Here is a 21,594-nt window from a genome sequence, read left to right on the forward strand (position 1 = left end):
CCTCCAGGTGTCTTGTCAATAGTGGGAAAAGCTATGCACCTTATGTAAGGAATAGTGACTCTGATCTACAGGTCAACTCAATACAGGCATACCCATCGTAACTTCTACCCACAAGTCAAATTATGTTAGAATCTGTTACAACTTAAAGACACCATGTCACCTTGAAAATGTTCATGTCACCTGCTATTTTGTTCCAACGTGGTAGAGTGAAGATACCATCACAGTGACAATCTTGATCTTTTCGCTAGTTCGCAGATGTGCCAACATAAGTCCATTTCTTCTAAATTTATCAAAGTGTTGACAGACAGAAAAATACCAAGCTGTCAATTGAAACACAGACCTCACTTCAGTCTTCAAGACAAATGCATTCTAAAGACGTTCTGTAGTGGAAATCGTGCTGGACTGGGAATCAACACACCCAGGTTCCAGTTCTTGGCTTGGTCATCACTGGCTGTGTGGATTTAAGAAGTCACTTTACTGCTCTGGGCCTCAGACACCTCATCTGCAATGTGAGAGGCTTGGGCTAGATGAAAATATGCTGAGATAAATTATAGAGCCTATAGTACTTCTCACTTTGCCCCCACGCGAGTTCTCTGAGTCATCCTCTTCTGCCCTCCCCCGTTCTCACGTTGATTGGCAGCACTGCAAGCTGATTGGCCCTTTCTTCTCTGGCGATGTGGGGGATGGTGCCCTGTGTTATAAATAAATGAACAGGGTGGGGCGGGGCAAAGGGAGGGGCTGTCAGAGGCCCTCGGAGAGCTCATTAGTGGGGAAAGCTCCTTGACTGGGGACTTCTGATCTTCAGCCCTGATTCACTCAAGCAGTCACAAGCAAAAGGAGAGGAAAAAGAGGAGCTGGGAGAGATTCATGTGTACAGGGCACTGGGGACATGATGGAGGTGGGGACCATGACTGGGCTGAGGGGAAGCAGGGAATCCCTCCCCCAACCCAGGTCAGACTTCGCTGGCCTACTTACAATCAAGATTGGGTCCCTGGCTAGGCCCTGGCCCTAAAATATGTGCACCCCAGAGAATGACAGGATCACCCACCAACAAACTGGACTCTTGAAAGATGTGAACCCCTCAGGGAAACCCCAAATAGGTCAAAGTCATGGGCATTCCTCTGGAAACAGAGCTGGAGAGCTGTTAGAGTGACTTCTTAAAGACCACGCTAAGAAGGAGGTGTGCAAAGGCTCTTGAACAACTACAGAAATATAGGGGCTTAAGTGACTCTCAGGTAAAGGTCTCAAACTGCGGCGGGATCTGAACAACAGAAGGACGCCTCCCCAGAGCTGTCCGTGGTGCTGGAGCCTTTCCCTGAGGCTGGTTCCTGACCGCCTCCATCCTCCACACCAGCTGTCAGCCCACACTATGTCCTCTCCGACCTCAGCCAACTGCAGAGCCAGCTGCCTGCCCAGCTTCACTTCCTACCTGACCAGGACTCCCCCCAGCCTGCCCCAATTCATGATTGCCCTGGCCTAACACCTCTGCCAGCTGCCTGCCCAGAACCATGCGGCCAGTTATGCTAACTGCTACCTACATGTGTGGTCTATTTGCCCCAGTCCTTCCCAGCCTGGCAGCCTGATTCTCCATTCATTTCCCAAAAACACAGCTGGAGGTGGTGAATCAGCCACAGGGAGGGGCACTGGGCCTTGGCTGGGCACCCAAGAGGCCAGGCCAAAAGGTCAGATGCAGGAGAAACAGAGCCACCCCTCCACACCCACCCTGACCAGTGCACCCTAAACAGAATGGTAGAGAACAGCTTCCCAGTCCAGAAATCCTTGCCTACACATCAGCTAGCTAAATAGGAGCCCAGACCAAGCAGAAATTCCCTGGGAGTCTCCTTATTGCTCCACCCCACCACACGTGGGCTCACAAATTCTGTCTTTAAGGGGTTTGGGAGGAGACACGGTTTGGATGTTTTGTCCCCTCCAAATCTCATGTTGAAATATGACCTCCAGTGTTGGAGGTGGGCCTAGTGGGAGGTGTTTGGGTCATGGGGGCAGTTCCCTAATAAATAGCTTGGTGCTGTCCCCATAGTAATGAGTAAGTTCTCAGTCTATTCATTCATGAGAGAGCTGGCTGTTTAAAAGAGATAGCATCTCCCCCCTCACTTGCTCCCTCTTTCGCCATGTGACATGCCAGCTCCCCCTCTGCCTTCTGCCATGATTGGAAGATTCTTGAGGCCTCACCAAAAGCAGATGCTGGCACTACACTTCTTGTACAGCTTGCAGAACTGTGAGCCAAACAAACCTGTTTTCTTTATAAATTACCCAGTCTCCAGTATTCCTTTATAGTAATGCAAAATGGGCTAACACAGAAGGCTTTGTCACCAGCAGCAATCAGTTGGCACAGTGGGTCTCAGGGCAGAAGTATACCCCTCCCCTTTCCTATGTCCCAGTGAGTGACTTTGAGCAACTCACTGAATTTCTCTCAACCTCAGTTTTCCCATCAGTGTTGCCCCATACTATCATGAGATAAAGGACAGGAAAGTACTTGGTAAGTTCTAGAATGTGGTGCAAGGGGCAGTTATCATTACTATCTAAATCCTACCCAGGTCTCCATGTTACTCTGATCCTTGCCAAGGGGGATGCAGGAGGCTGGCTGGGGAAACAGAAGAACATGTAAGTATTTCAATGTGCCTGGGGCTTCTCCGCATGTTGTCTTATTTAATCCAGTGAGGTGGATGTCACTGTCACCATTCCACAGATGAGGTTAAGTGGCCTGCCTAAGGCCACACTGCTAAGATGCTACCTAGCCCGGACCTGAACCAAATGCTGTGTAGCTCCCAAAACTGTGCATTTTGACCATTACACTAACCAACCTCCCTCTTGCCCACTTACTGCAGCCCACCCCATCAGGGCCAGATCTTGTTTCCAAAAACCCAGAGAAGCAACCCCACCTCAAAAGAAGGCCTCTGCTCCCACTTTTCCCCTCAGATCAGACCTACCGGCTTGTGCTCTGTTCTGAGCCAGACCTGACCCCAGTTTGCCAAACTGGCTGGAATGTGGCTTTGGACTAGGCCCCCCTTGAAGACACAGCTTTCCTCACCACCCCTCCCCCATCCAGTCTCTCCCCTCAACCCTCCACCCAGTGATGTGCTCAGCCCTTCCCTCCCCAGAAGCAAGGGCACTGGAGATGCAGTACTTGCCCTTAGGCCAAAGGTTCTCAAACATTACAATGCACAAGAATTACTGGGGCAATGCAATGAAAATGCAGTCATCATCCACAGAGATCCCGAGTCAGCAGATCCACAGTGGGGCCCACAAATCTGGATTTTTAAGAAAGTGATTCCAAAACAGGTGGTCCATGCTGCCCTGGACTCTCAGGCCTGTGGTCTTTTCTCTGGGCTGGAAGTTTGCACTGATTATGGATCCCAGATACTACACTTCTCAGGGGCAGGTATCACCCTCATGTGAGGCAGCTCTCACTGTCACCGTTCTGCATTACAGAGATCATGTAGTGGTCCTTCCCTTCTTCCACTTTACAGATGAGAAAGTTGGGGCCTAGAGAGAAAAGGAGACTCCTCCAAGGTCAGGCCACTGGTTAATGGTAGAACCAGGACTGGGGCCTGGGGCTGCTGACAGTCAAGGCAGTCCAGTACCCAAGAGGCCCAGACATCTGGGGAGGCAGTGGTAGGAAGTGAAGCCATGGCAGCCACAGAGTCTTTGGGTCACTTAGCTGTGGGGCTGTGGGATGACTCCACAGGGACTAGGAGCCTTTCACACTGATTTATGAGATGGTCCCTGCCAGAGGACTCCTGGGCAGGGATGCCATTTGTTACTTCCCCAAGGAAAGCCCCAAAATGATGATCACAGCACACAGATCCAGCACAGGAACACACACACAGTCTCTCATTAATAACTCCTGGGCCATCTGGTACAACAGCAACTGGGGCTCCAGACCTGGGCATCAGGTGCAGGAAACGTGACAAGAGGTGGCACAGAGCTGGGCTCTTTCTGCCAACAGGAGAGGAGTTTGTGCAACACACTGAATAAGAATTTGGGGAAAGCACAGGTGCATCCATACCCAAATCTAGAGAAGTGTGGGACCTCCTTGGAGTTCAACCCATTCCACACCAAAGGTCTACAGCAGCACTGTGCAATAGAACTTTCTGCCATGATGGAGATATTCTTTATCTGCTCTAAGACTCTAGTCACTGCCCACATGTGGGTATTGAGCACTTTATATGTAGCTAATGGGACTAAGGAACTTTTTTTAACTTTAATAAACACTAAAATTAGTTAATATATTAACTCATTTAAATCTCACAAGAGATCTATGAATAGGTACTATTATTTTCCCCATTTATAGAATGAGGAAGCTGAGGCACAAAGAGGGCAAGTAACTTGTCCAAGGTCATTCTGGCTAGTAAAAGGTAGAGCTGAGAATTGAACCCAGGCAGTCTGGAACCACTCTTTTTTTTTTTTTTTTTTTTTTTTTTTAGACAGGGTCTCACTCTGTTGCCCAGGTCAAAGTGTAGTGGTGCAATCATGGCTTACTACAGCCTCAACCTCCCAGGCCCACCTCAGCCTGAGTAGCTGGGACCACAGGTGCATGCCACCATGCCCAGCTAACTTTTTAATTTTTTGTAGAGATGGAGTCCCATTATGTTTCCCAGGCTGGTCTCAAACTGCTATGCTCAAATGATCCTCCCACTTCGGCCTCCCAAAGCACTGGGATTACAGGTGTAGGCTACCATGCCCGGCCCAGAGTCTCTTTTAACCACTACCTAAGTTACATCCCTGCTGGCATGCTGCATTCCTGACACACTGTCTGGGCTACACTGCAATACACATACATGCACACACGCACATCCATGAGGGCTTGTCATGAATAAAACACCAGCAGCGGCATTTGGAGCCTTTATTCAGTGAAACAGACATGGATCCCTGAGTGACAAAGTGGCCAGTCTGATGGGAAGAAGTACAACCCCTGTCTTGGAGAACCTTCCAATCAGATGGAAGAAGCAGAGAAACTACATAGGTTCAAGCTGGGGGGTGTCATGAATCTGAAGGGAAGTATCCTATTGAACTGTTGACTCCCTGACTCCATTTCAGCTGGTCCTAAGAAAGCCTTTGGGGTTCCTGGGAGCTCCAGGATGAGCTCTCCCTGAGCCTCTCTGAAAGTGAAAGTTTGGAGAAAGCGAAGCATGGCATCTCAGATGATCACTTCTCTCACACTCCAGAGAAGGTGGGGGAGGGGGGAATCTGCTACAGCTAATTAGGAAAATGCATTAAGAACATAACTTACAAATGGCCCCATGGGTCCCCACATCTCATTTGCATTGAGCTGTTGTTACCTTATTGATTATATTAAATTAGGAGATAGTCACAACTGTCTGCAATACAACAATTACCATCATCAAACCAATTAGTATCAAATGGGATGTGGTCCCTGTCACTCCAGCGCTGCACTTGGCTATTTCCAACACCGTTAGCCCAGCCTTACGAAATAATTGTGTTTCTAATGAAATGACGGCAATCAGCAGAGATATTCCCAAGAGATCCACTCCTATTTCTATGGCCCTGTGTCAGGATAGCTTGAAACACAAGCACAGGCCGGGCGCAGTGGCTCACGCCTGTAATCCCAGGACTTTGGGAGGCCAAGGTAGGTGGATCACTTGAGGTCGGCAGTTTGAGACCAGCCTGGACAACATGGTGAAACCCTGTCTCTAGTAAAAATACAAAAATTACCCGGGTGTGGTGGTATGCACCTATAATCCCAGCTACTTGAGAAGCTGAGGCAGGAGAATCACTTGACCCTGGAGGTGGAGGTTGCAGTGAGCCGAGATCGCGCCACTGCACTCCAGCCTGGGGGACAGAGCTAGACTCTGTCTCAGAAAGAAAAAAGAAAAAAGAAAGAAAAGAAACACAAGCACAAGCAAAATGATACAACTGGTGTCTTCAGTAGCCAAGTCCTTATGGACAAACTACCCCTGGCCCCAGAAACCCTTCATCCATCAGTCACAGAATTTCATTCATAGGTAAGTTCACACACAATCCATGTGTGCAAACTTGGTTGTCAACACCCTCTCACAACTAGAATACACACATAAAACATGTTCAAACCTGCTCACACGGAGACACACGCCTCTCCATGAACTTCATGCACACACTCCCACAGCTCACCCTTAAGCTGTGCCTCAAGGCACTCATACTCACCCACGCACCCTCACACCCTGTCATACCTTCTACACAGGTCTGCACCCAGCACACATGTACAGTTACACACACGATTGTTCACCCAACACATATAAGCAAGCACACGCTAAACAGCCACACACTTGTGCAAGGAACCAAGCGCAGGATATAGACTTATACACACACAGCCCAGCATCCGCATGGTGACTCATCACACTCCCCCACAGTCACACACAAGCACACACCAGTTTTGGAGACACTTTAGACAGAATCCAGAAGCCTGGCAGGAGGACCCTAAGACCGCTTCTCCTCGCTGCTCAGGGCCAGGAACCTCATTCTTCAGAAACCTCCGCACTACCACTCTACAACCCCCAAGACTGGCATACCTACCCCGTGGTGTAGGAGGAAGCCTTGTCCAAGATCACTGGCAGCTTTACAGTTCTCTCAACGATTGCAAAGGAGGCAAGCGAGGAGAGAAGGGCAGAAAACCAGATGCCTTGGGCTTTCCTGTGCAGAGGCAGCCTTTGCAGAGGAGCTTCCTCATAGCTTCTCCTTTGCGATGGTGTCTGTTCATTTGCTCACATGGCTTTACCCCAGTTGCCATTTATTGAGCACTTACCCTATGCCTGTCATGGAGATATCCCTTCCTTGACTCAATATTTCCTGGGTGCCTCCCATACCCTGGGTGCTGTTTTGGGTGCTCGAGATTCCACCATAAGCAAAACATAGTCCCTGTTCTTGTGATACAGTCTACAGGCAGAGACCGACCAGAAAGTTGTAAACCACTACATATAAATATGTAAGAGCTATGAATAAAAATAAAGCAGAGAGAACAGAGCGTGGGTTGCTGTTTTAGACAAGGAGGTCAGAAAGTTCCCCCTGATAAGGTGACATTTAAGGAGTGACCTGCCAGAAGGCGAAGCAAGCCATGTAAATACAGCCCTGTGTCACATAACAGCGCTTCGGTCATCCACGGACCACATACACAAACAGTGATCCCATAAGCCTATAATGGACCTGAAAATGTCCTATCACTAGTGACACGGTAGCTGTCATAACATCAAGCAGTGGAAATGTCATAGCACAACAGGTTACTCATGCCTTTATGGTAGGACTGGTGTAAGCAAACCTACTGCGCTGCCACAGTCGTGTAAAAGTCTAGCACAATGGGTGGGGTGCGGTGGCTCACACCTGTAATCCCAGCACTTTGGGAGGCCAAAGAGGGCAGATCACTTGAGGTCAGGAGTTCGAGACCAGCCTGGCCAACATGGTGAAACCCCATCTCTATTAAAAATACAAAATTAGCCAGGCATGGTGGCACATGCCTGTAATCCCAGCTACTTGCAAGGCTGAGGCACAAGAATCGCTTGAACCCCAAAAGCGAAGGTTGCAGTGAGCCGAGATCGCACCACTGCACTCCAGCCTGGGCAGCAAGAGCGAAACTCTGTCTCAAAAAAAATAAATAAATAAAAAAGTCCAGCACATACAATTATGTACAAGTACATAATACTTGAAAATAAACGACAATGTTACTGACTTATGTATTTACTATGCTATGCTTTTTATTGTTATTTCAATGTGTACTCCTGCTACTTATGAAAAAAAAAAAAAAAAAACTAACTGTAAAACAGCCTTAGGCAGGTCCTTCAGGAGCTATTCCAGAAGGCATTGTTATCAGAAGAGATGACAGCTCTATGTATGCTATTGCCCCTGAAGACCTTCCAGTGGGACAAGATGTGGAGATGGAAGACAGTGATATTGATGATCCTGACCCTAGGTAGGCCTAGGCTAATGTGTGTGTTTGTGTCTTCATTTTTAACAAAAAAGTCTAAAAAGAAAAAAAAAGAAAAGGAAATAATTTTATAATAGAAAAAAGCCTAAATTGACAGTTTTTACAAAAGGTATATATGAAAAGAAAAAAATCTTATATAGAATAAGGATATAAACAAAGAAAATAATTTCATATAGCTGTATATGTCTATGTTTTAAGCTATGTGTTATTACAACAGTCCAAAAGTTTTTACAAATCAAAAAAAGATAAGAGTAAAAATGTTACATTTTTATTATTGAAGAAAAGAAAAAAGTTTATGAATTTAGTGTAGCCTAAGTGTACGGGGTTTATAAAGTCTACAGTAGTGGGTCGGGTGCGGTGTCTCACGCCTATAATTCCCAGCACATGGGAAGGCCGAGGGGGACAGATCACTTGAGGTCAGGAGTTTGAGACCAGCCTGGCCAACATGGCGAAATCCTGTCTCTATTAAAAATACAAAAGTTAGCCGGGCGTGGTAGCGCATGCCTGTAATTCCAGCTACTCAGGAGGCTGAGGCAGGAGAATCAGTTGAAACCAGGATGCGGAGGTTTGCAGTGAGCCAAGATTCCACCACTGCACTCCAGCCTGGGCGATAGAGTGAAACACTGTCTCAAAACATAAAAAAAAAAAAAAGAAAAGAAAAAAGAAAAAAAAAAGAATCCATCCCCATCACTAAGCAACCCATGACTATGAATATGGGGAGAGCATGCCAGGTGGAGGGAACAGCCAGTGCAAAGGGCCTGCAGCAGGTGCACAGGTGCCATTCCTCAGAGCAGTAATGCAACCAGCCTAGCTGGAGAGAGTAAGCAAGAGAGGTGCTGAGAGGTGTTGCCTATTTCAGTTGCATTATCTCATTTAACCATCACACCTCTGTAGGAGATGGAATATTATCATCTCTAATTTAGATGAGAAAACTGAGGCTCAGAGAGGTAACGGAACAGTGCCACGTCACACAGCTCTGAAGATACTGAGCAGAGATGCATGCCTGGGTCTGCCCATTCCAGGACTGCCTCTTAGCCCCAGGCCCTTTCTTTCCCTCAGCCACCCGTCTCCCTGCCAGGTTGTACCGGGCCTGTTAACATAAAGTCGTACACTAGCTTACGCTCACATGGTCATCAAAGTCATGATGGATCTATTAATTCATTGCTGGAGCTTTCATTACACACATTATTACAATGCACATGATTATGGTTGTTAGTGGCGCTTACAACTACAAACACCATTAATAACTCATAACTCTTTCCATCACCACAAAGGGGCCTTCTCCAGTGTGTATGTCCCTCATAACATACACACAGAGCCAGGAAGGGACCCCTATGAGTGCTGGGGAAACAACCCCCTTATCAGAGAGTGGTGCCTCCAAGTCCTCAGCTGTCTGCCCCAGCCCCCGCAGTCACCCCCTTTATCCACCCCAGGGGGCCCGGGCCCTAGCCATCCCAGAGCTGTCCTCCTCCATCTTGGCTCTGCTGCCTGGAGTTATTTTGATTCACTTGCTTCTTTGGGTTAGAGTGGAAGAAAGGGCAGAAGCAGCCTGCAACATGCAGAGAATTGAACACTGACTATGGCTAATCCACAATTCAAGGTCCAGTATTAGGCAGGAAGGAAGGAAGTCCCTGAAACAAAACATCAGAGGTTCAAAGAGTTCGCCAGAATCATCTCTAGCTAAAAGGAGATGAAGAAATAAGAAAATATTTTTGTCTCTAGATCTTTGAAAATGCTACATGTAAACCTTTTCTCAGTTAATCTTGACAACGACCTTATGAGAAAATCATTACATGCATTTTATAAACGTAGAAGCAGTGGCTCAGAGACATTGAATCACTTGCCTGAGGTCACACAGCTAGTAAGTGGTAGGGCTGGGATTTAAACCTAGGTTGATCTGGCATCACAGCCTGTGGTCCTGCCTGAGTTGCCAGATCAGAGGGATTGAGAAGGGTCACAGCATGCCCAGCTGACTGTTCCGCAGCAAGACATTCCCTCCACTGTGATCCTCTCCCTACAGAGGCACCTGAAGGGAGTGGACTTAAGACAGCAAAAGGGGCCAGGCACGGTGGCTCACGCCTGTAATCCCAGGACTTTGGCAGGCTAAGGCAGACAGATCACAAAGTCAAGAGATCGAGACCATCCTGGCCAACATGGTGAAACCCCGTCTCTACTAAAAATACAAAAATTAGCTTGGCTTGGTGGCAAGTGCCTGTGGTCCCAGCTACTTGGGAGGCTGAGGCAGGAGAATCACTTGAACCCAGGAGGCAGAGGTTTCAGTAAGCTGAGATCGCACCACTGCACTCCAGCCTGGCAACAGAGCAAGACTCCATCTCAAAAAAAAAAAAAAAAAAGATAGCAAAAGGGAGGGAGGGAAAGGGAATTGGAGGAGAGAGAAATAAGGAAGAGGGGATTGGGGGAGAAAACAAAGGAGTTAAAGGAGAGGAGAAAGGAATAAAGAAGGAGACAAAGGAAGAGGAGGCCCACATGCCCCACCACCCTCCACCCCACTCCATACCTAACGTGCATTTGCCACACATGATCCTTAATCCATATTCCAATATATGACAAGAATTAGACTGCTTCACAGGAGCAAGAACTAAGATCCAGTGGCCTTTCCGAGGGGTTCCATATGCTTTTTTTTTTTTTTTTTCCTGAAACAAGATCCCATTCTGTTGCCCAGGCTGGAGTGCAGTGGTACGATCAGGGCTCACTGCAGCCTCAACCTCCCAGGCTCAAGAGATCCTCCCATCTCAACCTCCTGAGTAGCTGGGACTACAGGCACACACCATCACACCTGGCTAATTTTTGCATTTTTTGTAGAGATGGAGTTCCACCACGCTTCCCAGGCTGGTCTCGAACTCCTGGGCTCAAGCGATCTACCCACCTCAGCCTCCCAAAGTGCTGGGATTACAGGTTTGAGCCAATGCGCCTGGCCTGCATTCTCTCATTTTAATCTTCATAGCAACATTCTTCATGAGTGAGCAGCCACACAACACTGCTGTCCTTTCTCCACTCATGTGCTTCCACATCTCTGTGCCTCTGCCTAAAATGCCACTCCCTACCCTCATTCCCAGCCTCATTGGCTGGCAAACTCCCAACCATTCTTCAACACTCAACTCAAATGTCACCACCTCTATGGAGCCACCCATGACTCTCCAGCTATACCAGTTGAGTAATGCAGATATGTGGGAAAAGTTCATTTTCTTCTCCTCCCTGCCTTCAATCTTATCTCCCTGAGGTTACAACAGATGACACATCTTTTCATATACCATCATCCCTCAGTATCCACAGGGAGATTCGTTCTAGGACCCCCCCCAGATATCAAAATCTGCAGATGTTCAAGTTCCTAATATAAAATGGTATTGTACTTGCAACTAACCTACACATACCCACCCATATACTTTTGATCATCTCTAGATTACTTATAATACCTAATGCAATGTAAATGCTATGTAGCTATACTGTATTTTTATTTGTATTCATTTTTACTGTTAAATATTTTTTCTTTTTTTTTTTTTTTTTTTTTTTTTTTTACATTTTTGAGCTGTAGTTGGTTGAATGAATCTATGGATACAGAACCCCCTGATGAAGAGGGCCGGCTGTAATTTTCTAGACCCTTACAGACAAACAAAAAAAATGTGGGCTTTTTAAATTTCTATTTATTGGCCGGGCACAGAGGCTCATGCCTGTAATCCCAGCACTTTGGGAGGCCGAGGCAGGTGGATCACTTGTCGAGACCAGCCTGGACAACATGGTGAAACCCCATCTCTACTAAAAAATATACAAAAAATTAGCTGAGCGTGGTGGCACACACCTGTAAGCCCAGCTACTCGGGAGGCTGAGGCATGAGAATCACTTGAACCCAGGAGGTGGAGGTTGCAGTGAGCTGAGATCGAGCCACTGCGCTCCAGCCTGGGCGACAGAGGGAGACTCTGTCTCAAAAAAATAAATAAAAAATAAATTTCTATTTATGTATCTAATAAAAATAGGATTCACATTACTCCAAACTTGCTTTGTTCACTTAACACATCATGAACCACCCTTGAGGTCAGTGCATCTGGAAGGTTCTCCCTCCTGTCATTAGCTGGGTCACCATCCGCAGCCATCAGTTAACCATTTCCCTCCTGATAGATATTCGACTGTTTCATTCATGACTACAGATGGTGCAGTAGTAAATGTCTTTGTGCATTTATCCTTATGTTCTGATGCTTTTATTCCCGCAGGCTAGACTCCCCAAAGAACAATTTGTGAATCAAGGGTGTTCGTACTTTAAATTTTAATTGCCACTGCTGATTTTGTTCCCTAGCACTCACGGCAATTCTCAGTCCCCAGCAATGGATGCAAAAGCCCTCTTCCCACATCATGGCCAGAACTGGACATTCTTTTTGCATTCTTGCCAATAGATGGATGATAGTACCTATCCCATAGAATTGTTGTGAGGTTTAAATGTAAAATACAGTACCCATCATTTAAGTCTCTAATAAACATTAGCCATTTATTTAACTCCAATGTTATCTTATTATTATATATCTAAGGAAAGCCTAGAGTACATAATGACTTCTAGATTCAGGAGACTGTATTTTTTTAAGCAGACCTAGATTCCAAGCCAGCCTTTCCTGACCAGAGCTTTGTGGCTCTCAGCTAGCCACTTAACCTCTTGGAGCCTCAGTTGCTTCACCTGTAGAACAGGGATGATGAGCCCTGGGCTTTCTCCTTCACAAGAGAGTAATAGATCTCAAATGAATTCATGAATGTGAAACCACCCTGGAAAAAAAAAAAACCTAAGACTTCACACAAGTGTGGGGGTTTTATGCTACCAGTTCCACTGATGACCAGGCATAACCTCTGGGTAATTACCAGGAAGCCACTTCTTAAAGAAGCAGCAACCGTCACAGTCAGAGACAAAGGTGGAGGTCCCCTGATTCTTGGTCCTTGTATTAGTCTGTTCTTGCAATGCTATAAAAAAACTACCTGAGACTGGGTAATTTATAGAGAAAAGGGGTTTAATGGGCTCATGGTTCCACGCTGCCGAGGAGGCCTCAGGAAAATTACAATTATGGTAGAAGGCAAAGGGAAAGCAGGCACATCTACATGGCAGGAGCCGGAGGAAGAAAGACAGCAAAGGGGGAGGTGCTACACACTTTTAAACAACCAGATCTCGTGAGAACTCACTATCACGAGTGCAAGGGGACCCTATAATCCAATCACCTCCCACCAGGCCCCTCCTCCAACACTGGGGATTACAATTCCACATGAGATCTGGGTGGGAACACAGAGCCAAACCATATCAGTCCTCAGCCCTTCAGCCAGGCATTTGTGCTCCAGGGATCCTTGAGAACAGGGTGCATCCGTGGATACAAGCATGGGGTCATGTAAGGAGCTCCAAAAGAATCCCCTCCTACTCACAAATGCCCCCTAACCCAGAAGCTATTGTCAGCTGTCTGACATTTCACCATTAGAGACCCATTCCTCCCTACAACACTCCCCGAAGGATCAAGTGGATTCCCATGACTTCCCATATTACTTATGAAACATTTCCTGAGCACACGCTTTGTGCCAGGTAGGGTGCCCAGTACTCTGCACATGGTGCCTCAGGATCAACTCTATGCTGACACTGCCAAAGCCCACCTCTACAGCTCGGACTTCTCTCCAAGCTTCAGACCCACATTCCCATCTGTCTACTAGAAACCCTGCCCTCAACCTCCCACAGGCATCGCAAACTCCTCAGACCCCAAAGTGAACTTACCAGCCTCCTCCACAAACCCAAATTCCCTCCTCCTGCTTCCCCATCTCCGGGCCTGGCTTCCTGATCTCCAGCCCACACCACCAAAAGCCTCAGCATTCCCCAGAGAAAGGAGGGTCCCTCTCCTCACCACCTGCAACCCACCAGTTATTGAGCCCATACATTCAGGTGTCTTCTCCATCACCCTGCCCAGGGCCAGTTCTAGGATGGGATGAGTGAAGCAAAATTCAGGAGGCTCCTGCAAGGGCTGGCCCTGAGAGGGAGCAGGGCCACTTAAATGTGGTGTCCCCAGAGCCTCACTTGCCTACCCTGGTCCTGGCCTGGCCCACGCTCTAGATCAGGCCAGCTCAGCTCATCTCCTCTCACTGGACTAAGGCAGCAACCACCTACCTTGCCTCCCTGCCTGTCCTCTCACCCTCCAACCAACCTCTTCTCTGCAACCAGATAATATTCACAAGTCTCAGCTTTGACCATATCACATCCTCAAGAACCTTAGAGGCCTCACCATCACCTGCTGAATTACGTACCGAGCCTGGCATTCACACAGGACTCACCAGCCTCCACGCTGACAAAATCAACTTCCGTTTAAAACTACCCCGCCCAGACGGCCAGCTCAGAGATGGCATCTGATTGGACCATGAATGAGCACCTGAAACAAGGGCAGCCCATCTATAGGCTATCTCATAGCCTATCACATGGCCTGACACAAAAGGCTCCGCAAAGAGAAAATAGTCATCAGCTGAGCCAATTGAATGTCTTCTCTCAGGTGGTTGAATGGAAGGAAAAAGAGAAGAGTTGGTGAAGTGTTAGCAGGACAGGAAAGGCAGCCACAAGGAATTGACCACAAGTTGTGTTAATAGAGTTAATAAATTCCCTCCCGATGCTGAGGTCCTGGCGCCATCTTAAATCCAGTCTGCCTCAGTTTCCTGCGGGCCCCAGCCCTGACAGTTTCTCTTGTAGGATTTCCACGAGTGCCCTTATTATGCCACTAGTGTCTCGAGTGAGCTAGCTTGAGAGGACCTCTGATCCATAAAACCAAAACATGCAAGGCTCTTTGCAATACATCCCTGCTTAGAATCTTAGCTGCAAGTAACAGACACCACCTCAAGCTGACATCACTGGGGCTCTTACAACAAAGATACAAGGAACTTCGTGGAAGAGGACTGGAGCTGGAATGCAGAAGGCCAGCAGGAATGTCAGTCCTTTCTCTCTCCCACTCCACAGTCCACTTGGTTGCTGGGTAGAACCTGCCCAATCCCAGCCTCCCAGTGAGAGATGCAATCACTCACAGACAAACCCTGCTCTCTCCCAGTCCCAGCCCTATATTTCCAGAAAAGAGAGTCTAATTGACACTATTTGGGTCAGATATCTAATCAGCCATGAATCATGAGACCAGCTCATCAGGGAGACACATGGCTCCCGAGCCTCTGAATTATTCTTCTAGGTTAATCATTGCCTTATCCCTGTTCAGCCCTCCCATGGCTGTGTCCTCAGTGAGGTTCTGAGGTGGGAACTAGAAGTAGGAGGCCCTGCCTTTCCTGAACTTGATCTAGCTCACTCAGGCCTGGCACTGTGTGAAGAAGGTTGGATCCCACCAAGACCCAGGGCAGGAGACAGCTGTCTGGAGAGGGATGGAAACCCCAGCTCCTGCCAGACAGCCCAAGCTTGAATGTGACACTCACACACCCACAAGAAAAGAGGCATCCAACATTTCTGTGCAGTTCCAAAAAGCTGGAGACATCTCACACCCACAAATAATAATCATGATTTTCTGTAATTATTATTTGTGTATTTTGCATAATTGTCATAATTATTATCATCAGCTCATCAGCTTCCCATCCCAGCATGCCCTCCTCCCGTCCTCAGCCCTGAAATCTGATCACATGGACACCCTTTCCTGCCTCTGACTTCCTCCCGAGAGCCAGTTCTCAGGGATCCCATCAGGAAATGGCATAGGACGTTCCTGAGGGCTCTTCTCCACTGTTTGTCCTTCCAGAATATTTCTGGCCTCAGTGCTAACTCTGTGCAGGGCTTATGGTCGCTGCTGGGAGAGGAGACAGGGAATGAGAGAAGAGCTCCCTCACTCTCTCACTCTAGGGAAATAGATAAGGCCTCCCTGCTCCACTCCAACCAGCGGTGTGCTGAAGCCAGCTTGTGCCAGCTCAGGAGATCAGACCATTAGCATCTCATCCCAACTCTGTGTTCAGCAACATCACATTGATACCTCGAGAACAGTCACAGTGGGAGTATTTTACACCACAGCAATTGGCCAAAAGGCTTTTTTTCTGAAGTGACCATTGTTAGACATTCACCAGCACACCCTCACACCCACCCTTCACACTACACACAAGGTGCTTTTTTTTTCTTTTGAGACGGTGTCTCACTCTGTCACCCAGGCTGGATTACAGTGATGCAATCTCAGCTCACTGTAGCCTCCACCTCCAGGGTTCAAGTGATCCTCCTGCCTCAGTCTCCCCAGTAGCTGGGACTACAGGCGTGTACCACCACGCCTGGTTAATTTTTGTATTTTTGGTAGAGATGAGGTTTCGCCATGTTGGCCAAGCTGGTCTCAAACTCCTGACCTCAGGTGATCTGCCCACCTCGGCCTCCCAAAGTGCTGGGATTACAGGCATGAGCCACCATGCCCAGTCACAAGTTGCTCTTTAAAGACTGCACATGTATCACTCTCCCTCAAGGGCTCTGCATCGCCCCCAGGTATAGCCCAAACTCTTAAATGTAAGGCCTCCAAAGCCTTGCATGCCAAGGCCCCAGCCCAACCCTCTGACTTCCTCCTTTACCATCTCCCCATGACCTTCCAGATCCTTCTGTGACCTAGAGAAGTTATCTCCAGGCCCCACACTCTCTGGCCTCCAGTCTCCACTACACACCATCCCTGCCTGAAATACCTGAAACACCTTAGTCACCCGCAGCCTTCTCCCCTTCATCCCTTGGGTCTTGGCTGAGGCACCACAACTATCTGGCATCTTCACTGACTTCATTGACCCACAGCCTGAGTTAGGAACCCTTGCCCGATGCCCCTGGTACCCCACTGTCATGGCAGTACTGTGCATGGTAATCCTGTGTCTACATACCTAGAGCCCCACTTAACTACAGGCCCCATAAGGCAGGAGTTAAGTCTAATTCAGTGTCTGGCACAGAGTCTAGCACTGTTGAATTGAATTGAATCAAACTGAATTGAATTGAATTAAATAGAATGAACACCACAGCCCAAGACACTAACCGAGGCTGTGATCAGTGCCCTCACAGAGACCCAAATAGAGTCCTCTGAGGGGGTCAGAGTAGGGCAGTGTGCTTCCTATGGATGAGTCTGCAGAAACGTCCTAGACACATCCCCAAGGAGAAACACCAAGCCACACCTTCCTTAGTGGGACAGTTCATGAGGCTCGGGATCACGAACTCAGCAGCTCCCACTCAGTGGCATGCCTTACACCAACTCACTGCTTCTTGTCTATCTACTCCACCCTCCTAAGGGGGCACCCTCAGTAATCCCTACCCTCAGGTGCCTGTCTGCTCCCAGCTTCACACTACTTCTATTACAGGAACCCCCACCTGCACCTCTTTCACACACACACACACACACACACACACACACACGTACACACGCATGCACATCTCCAACTTAGCCCCAAGAGCATCTGAGCCTGAATTTCACACATTCCTAGAGGAAGAAATGGGGGTTCAATATTGGACCGTAAAATTGGTTTCAAAGGAGCAAAAAGGCCAGGTGCGGTGGCTCACGCCTGTAATCCCAGCACTTTGGGAGGCCAAGGCGGGCGGATCACAAGGTCAGGAGTTCCAGACCAGCCTGGCCAACATGGTGAAACTCCATCTCCACTAAAAATACAAAAAATTAGCCAGGCTTGGTGGCGGATGCCTGTAATCCCAGCCACTCGGGAGGCTGAGGCAGGAGAATCGCTTGAACCCAGGAGGCGGAGGTTGAAGTGAGCCGAGATCGTACCACTGCACTCCAGCCTGGGTGACAGAGCAAGACTCCATCAAAAAAAAAAAAGAAAGAGGAGGGAAGGAAAGAAAGAAAGAAAGAGAGAGAGGGAGGGAGGGAAGGAAGGACGGAAGGGAGAGAGACAGAGAGAGAAAGAGAGAGAGAGAGAGAGAGAAAGAAAGAAAGAAAGAAAGAAAGAGAGAAAGAAAGAAAGAAAGAAAGAAAGAAAGAAGGAAAGAAGAAAGAAAGAAAGAAAAGAAAGAAAGAAAGAAAGAAAGAAAGAAAGAAAGAAAGAAGGAAGGAAGGAAGGAAGGAAAGAAAGAAAGAGGGAGGGAGGGAAAGAAGGAAGGAAGGGAGAGAGAGAAAGGAAGAAAGAAAGAAAGAAAGAAAGAAAGAAAGAAAGACAGAAAGAAAGAAAGAAAAGAAAAGAAAGAGGCAAAAAAAATGGTATTTCTTACATACCTAAGTATGCAGATTGAGATTCCTATACCATAGCTAACATTTATTGAGAAACGTCAAGAAGCAAAACAAAGACCAGCAGAACTAAATTAAATAATAACAAAATAAAACAAAATCTGAAAGGCTGGGCATGGTGGTGCACACCTGTAATCCCAGTGCTTCGGGAGGGCAAGGCAGAAGAACTGCTTGAGGCCAGGAGTTCAAGACCAGCCTGGACAACATAGCAACATCCTGTCCCTACAAAAAGTGTTTTTAAAAATGAGCTGCGTGTGGTGGTATGCGCCTATAGTTCCATCTACTTGGGAGGCTGAGGCAGGAGGATCTCTGGAGCCCAGGAGTTCGAGGTTACAGTGAGCTACAGTTGTGCCACTGCACATCAGCCTGGGCAAACACAGTGAGACCCCATTTCTTTAAAAAACAAACAACAACAACAAAAACAAACAAACAGGCCGGGCGCAGTGGCTCACACCTATAATCCCAGCACTTTGGGAGGCCAAGGCAAGCAGATCACTTGAGGTCAGGAGTTCGAGACCAGCCTGGCCAACAATGATGAACCCCCCATCTCTACTAAAAAATACAAAAATTAGCCGGGTGTGGTGGTGTGCACTTGTAATCCCACCTGCTCGGGAGGCTGAGGCAGGAGAATCGCCTGAACCCAGGAGGTGGAGGTTGCAGTGAGCTGAGATCATGCCACTGCACTCCAGCCTGAGTGACAAAGCAAGACTCCATCTCAAAAAACAACAACAACAAAAAAAAAAAACCCTGAGTATTTTAATGTACCAGAAGTTCATATGCCAGTGAAGATATTCACCAAGTAGTTCACTGAAGGGGAAAATTGAAGGTTTTTTAATGCCAGAAAGGGTGAAGACAGTTTATTGTGGTTCTTTTACTCATAGATGAAAACTAGCACTCTACCAAGGGCGGGATGGAGGATGAGTCCAGTGGTTATACACAGCTGGACACAGCAAATCCCATTGCTCATAGGTCCAGGGTCTCCAGTTCAGTCCAGAAAGGATCTGGCACATGTCACATGGTGACAACAGCCCTCGGCTTTGATCCATCATAGGCGAGTGCTGCTGAAAGTGGATGTTCTCCCTTGCCCGGTGCTAACACTTCTTGTGCACTTACTATGTTTAAGGATTCTGCCTCCCTCAACCAGAGGGGCAGTGGTTAAGAATCCAGGCTCGGGGCCAGACCACCTGTATCCAATCCCCCATTTAAGACTTGAATGAGTCAATACCTCAGCTTTCTCTTCTATAAAATGGGTAATGATAGCAACTACCACATAGGATTGTCAAGAGGATTAGATGTGTTATTCTGTGAACAGCCCTTGGTAGATACAATCTTTTAAGAGATGACCATTATTATCTCATTAATCTTGACATCAAGAGGCAGATCGTATTCTTATCTCTGTTTTACAGATGGGGCACTGTGACTTGCTCACAGCCTACTTCCCACCATACGCAGCTGCCGTCACCACTGCACCCTGGGTTTCAAGAATTGGCAGTGTCGTGCCAGGGCTCAGGGTGGGGAGGACTTGCTTATGGTGGCCATTACTCCACAGTGATGCTGTGAGACGCTGCTATGGCTTAAATAGGGTTTGTTTGGCCCCACCAAGTTTCATCCCCAGTGTTGGAGGTGGGACCTGGTGGGAGGTGTTTGGGTCGTGAGGCTTGGTGCCATTCTTGTGGGAGTGAGTGAGTTCTCACTCTTAGTTCCCCTGAGAACTAGTTGTTGAAAAGAATCTAGCATCTCCTCTTCTCCCTCCCTATCTCTCTCCCCCTCTCGCTCCCTCTCCCTCTTCTGTCCCCCTCTCTCCCTCCCTTTCCCTCTTCTCTCCCGCTCTTTCTCTCCCTCTCCCCTTCTCCCTCTCTCTCTCCCCCATCCCTCTTTCTCCCCCTTTCCTCTCTCTCTCCCCCTTCCCTCTCTCTTTCTCCCCCTTTCCTCTCTCTTTCTCCCCCTTTCCTCTCTCTCTCCCCCTTTCCTCTCTCTCCCCCTTCCCTCTCTGTCTCTCCCCCATCTCTCTCACCCCTCTCCCTCCCTCTCCCTCCCCCTCCCTCTTTCTCTCCCTCCCTCCCTCTCTCCCTCCCTCCCTCCTTCTTTCCCTCCCTCCCTCTCTCTCTCCCTCGCTTCCTTTCTCTCTCTCCCTCCCTCCCCCTCTCCCTCTCTCTTTGTCTACACATGTTATCTCTGCACACAGGTCCCCTCTCCTTTCTGCCATGAGTGGAAGCATCCTGCAGCCCTCACCTGGGGCAGCACCTTTGCCGCCACCATGCTTCCAGTACAGCCTGAAGAACCATGAGCCAAGTAAACCTCTTTTCTTTAAAATTACCCTGCCTCAGGTATTCCTTCATAGCAATGCAAATGGACTGAGACAGACACCCACTGACCCCCAACCCCAGGGCTACTTTAGCATATTGGCAAGGCTGGGACCCAAAGAGCCCCTTGGAAATCCTACCTCCTACAAGGCCCTGCAGGGGAACAGACACAAGCCCCTCTGCCTGGGCAATGCCAGATGTTCCTTCCCTCCCAGTCTCCAGAGTTTGTAACCATCCTCCCTGCAGTCAGGGGAATCCCTCCTCTTTTCAATGTTCCCTCACTTTTCCCACCAGATCACACAGCTTAATTCCCAGGGGAGGCTTCAGCTTTAGGGAAATAAAACCTGAATGGAGAAGTGTCTTGCAGACAAAGTCTCTTCCAGTCTCAAGGCAGCTCAGGCCAGCCGCCTGCCTGAACGGAGACGAGAGAAAACGCCACCATCTCCAAGCGTTGCCCTCACCAGTGGGCGAGTGGGCCCTGGAGCCCCACTCAGGGTGGATCCCCGAGAATCTGGAGTCAGATTCTGAGGGGCTAGGCTGACCCAGGCACATCCCTGAGATAGCCCCAGAGGAGGCAGCGTTCAGTGAGGACACACACCCCAGCTGACTGTGACTATGCACAGCGGGCAGCTTGCATCCAGGATTGAAGCTAACTCTGGGTAAGGAGCCAGCAGCTCCACCTGAAAAGGGCAGGGGAGGCTTCCAGGGATGGAAGCTGTGGGCTTGGCCAGGCCAGGTGAGGACAGGGCACCAGCCAGAGGGGTAGGAGGCTCAGTGCAGGAAAGAGCTGGAGGCTGGACCTTGCACTGGCATCCAAGGAGATAGTGCCAGGTGGCCCTTAGCATCGTGGGCATGGTGTGGGTGGAGGGAGGAGTTAGGACAGGCAAATGAGGGCCAGTTGTAGGGGCCTTGAATGCCCGGCCAAGGAGCTTGGCCTTTATCCTGTGGGCAGTAGGGAGGCCACAGAAGGGTTTTAAGTGAAGAGGCTGTGCCCAGATTTGAGTGTTGAGAAACCATACTGGCCACAGGGTGGCTAGCAGAGTGGATAGGAGAAGGAGGGGAAGGGGTGCAGGGGAGAGGCAAGGAGGCCAAATTAAAAGTGACTGCAATCATTCAGGTGGTGGTGACCCAGACAGCGGTCTGGGATAAGGGGTGGGGAAGTAGAATCTCAACTGGG

General features: G+C 48.4%; 2 annotated features.

Moving 5' to 3' along the window:
• Positions 998-1,498: an enhancer, noted in NCBI's record as "H3K4me1 hESC enhancer chr1:37876230-37876730 (GRCh37/hg19 assembly coordinates)". NCBI's record gives its function as "activates a minimal SCP1, AML or CMV promoter by ChIP-STARR-seq in primed H9 embryonic stem cells {active_cell/tissue: H9 hESC(primed)}" and the evidence as "EXISTENCE:reporter gene assay evidence [ECO:0000049][PMID:30033119]".
• Positions 1,499-1,999: an enhancer, noted in NCBI's record as "H3K4me1 hESC enhancer chr1:37876731-37877231 (GRCh37/hg19 assembly coordinates)". NCBI's record gives its function as "activates a minimal SCP1, AML or CMV promoter by ChIP-STARR-seq in primed H9 embryonic stem cells {active_cell/tissue: H9 hESC(primed)}" and the evidence as "EXISTENCE:reporter gene assay evidence [ECO:0000049][PMID:30033119]".

Source organism: Homo sapiens, chromosome 1 (genome assembly GCF_000001405.40).
Source record: "Homo sapiens chromosome 1, GRCh38.p14 Primary Assembly".
NCBI lineage: Eukaryota > Metazoa > Chordata > Mammalia > Primates > Hominidae > Homo > Homo sapiens.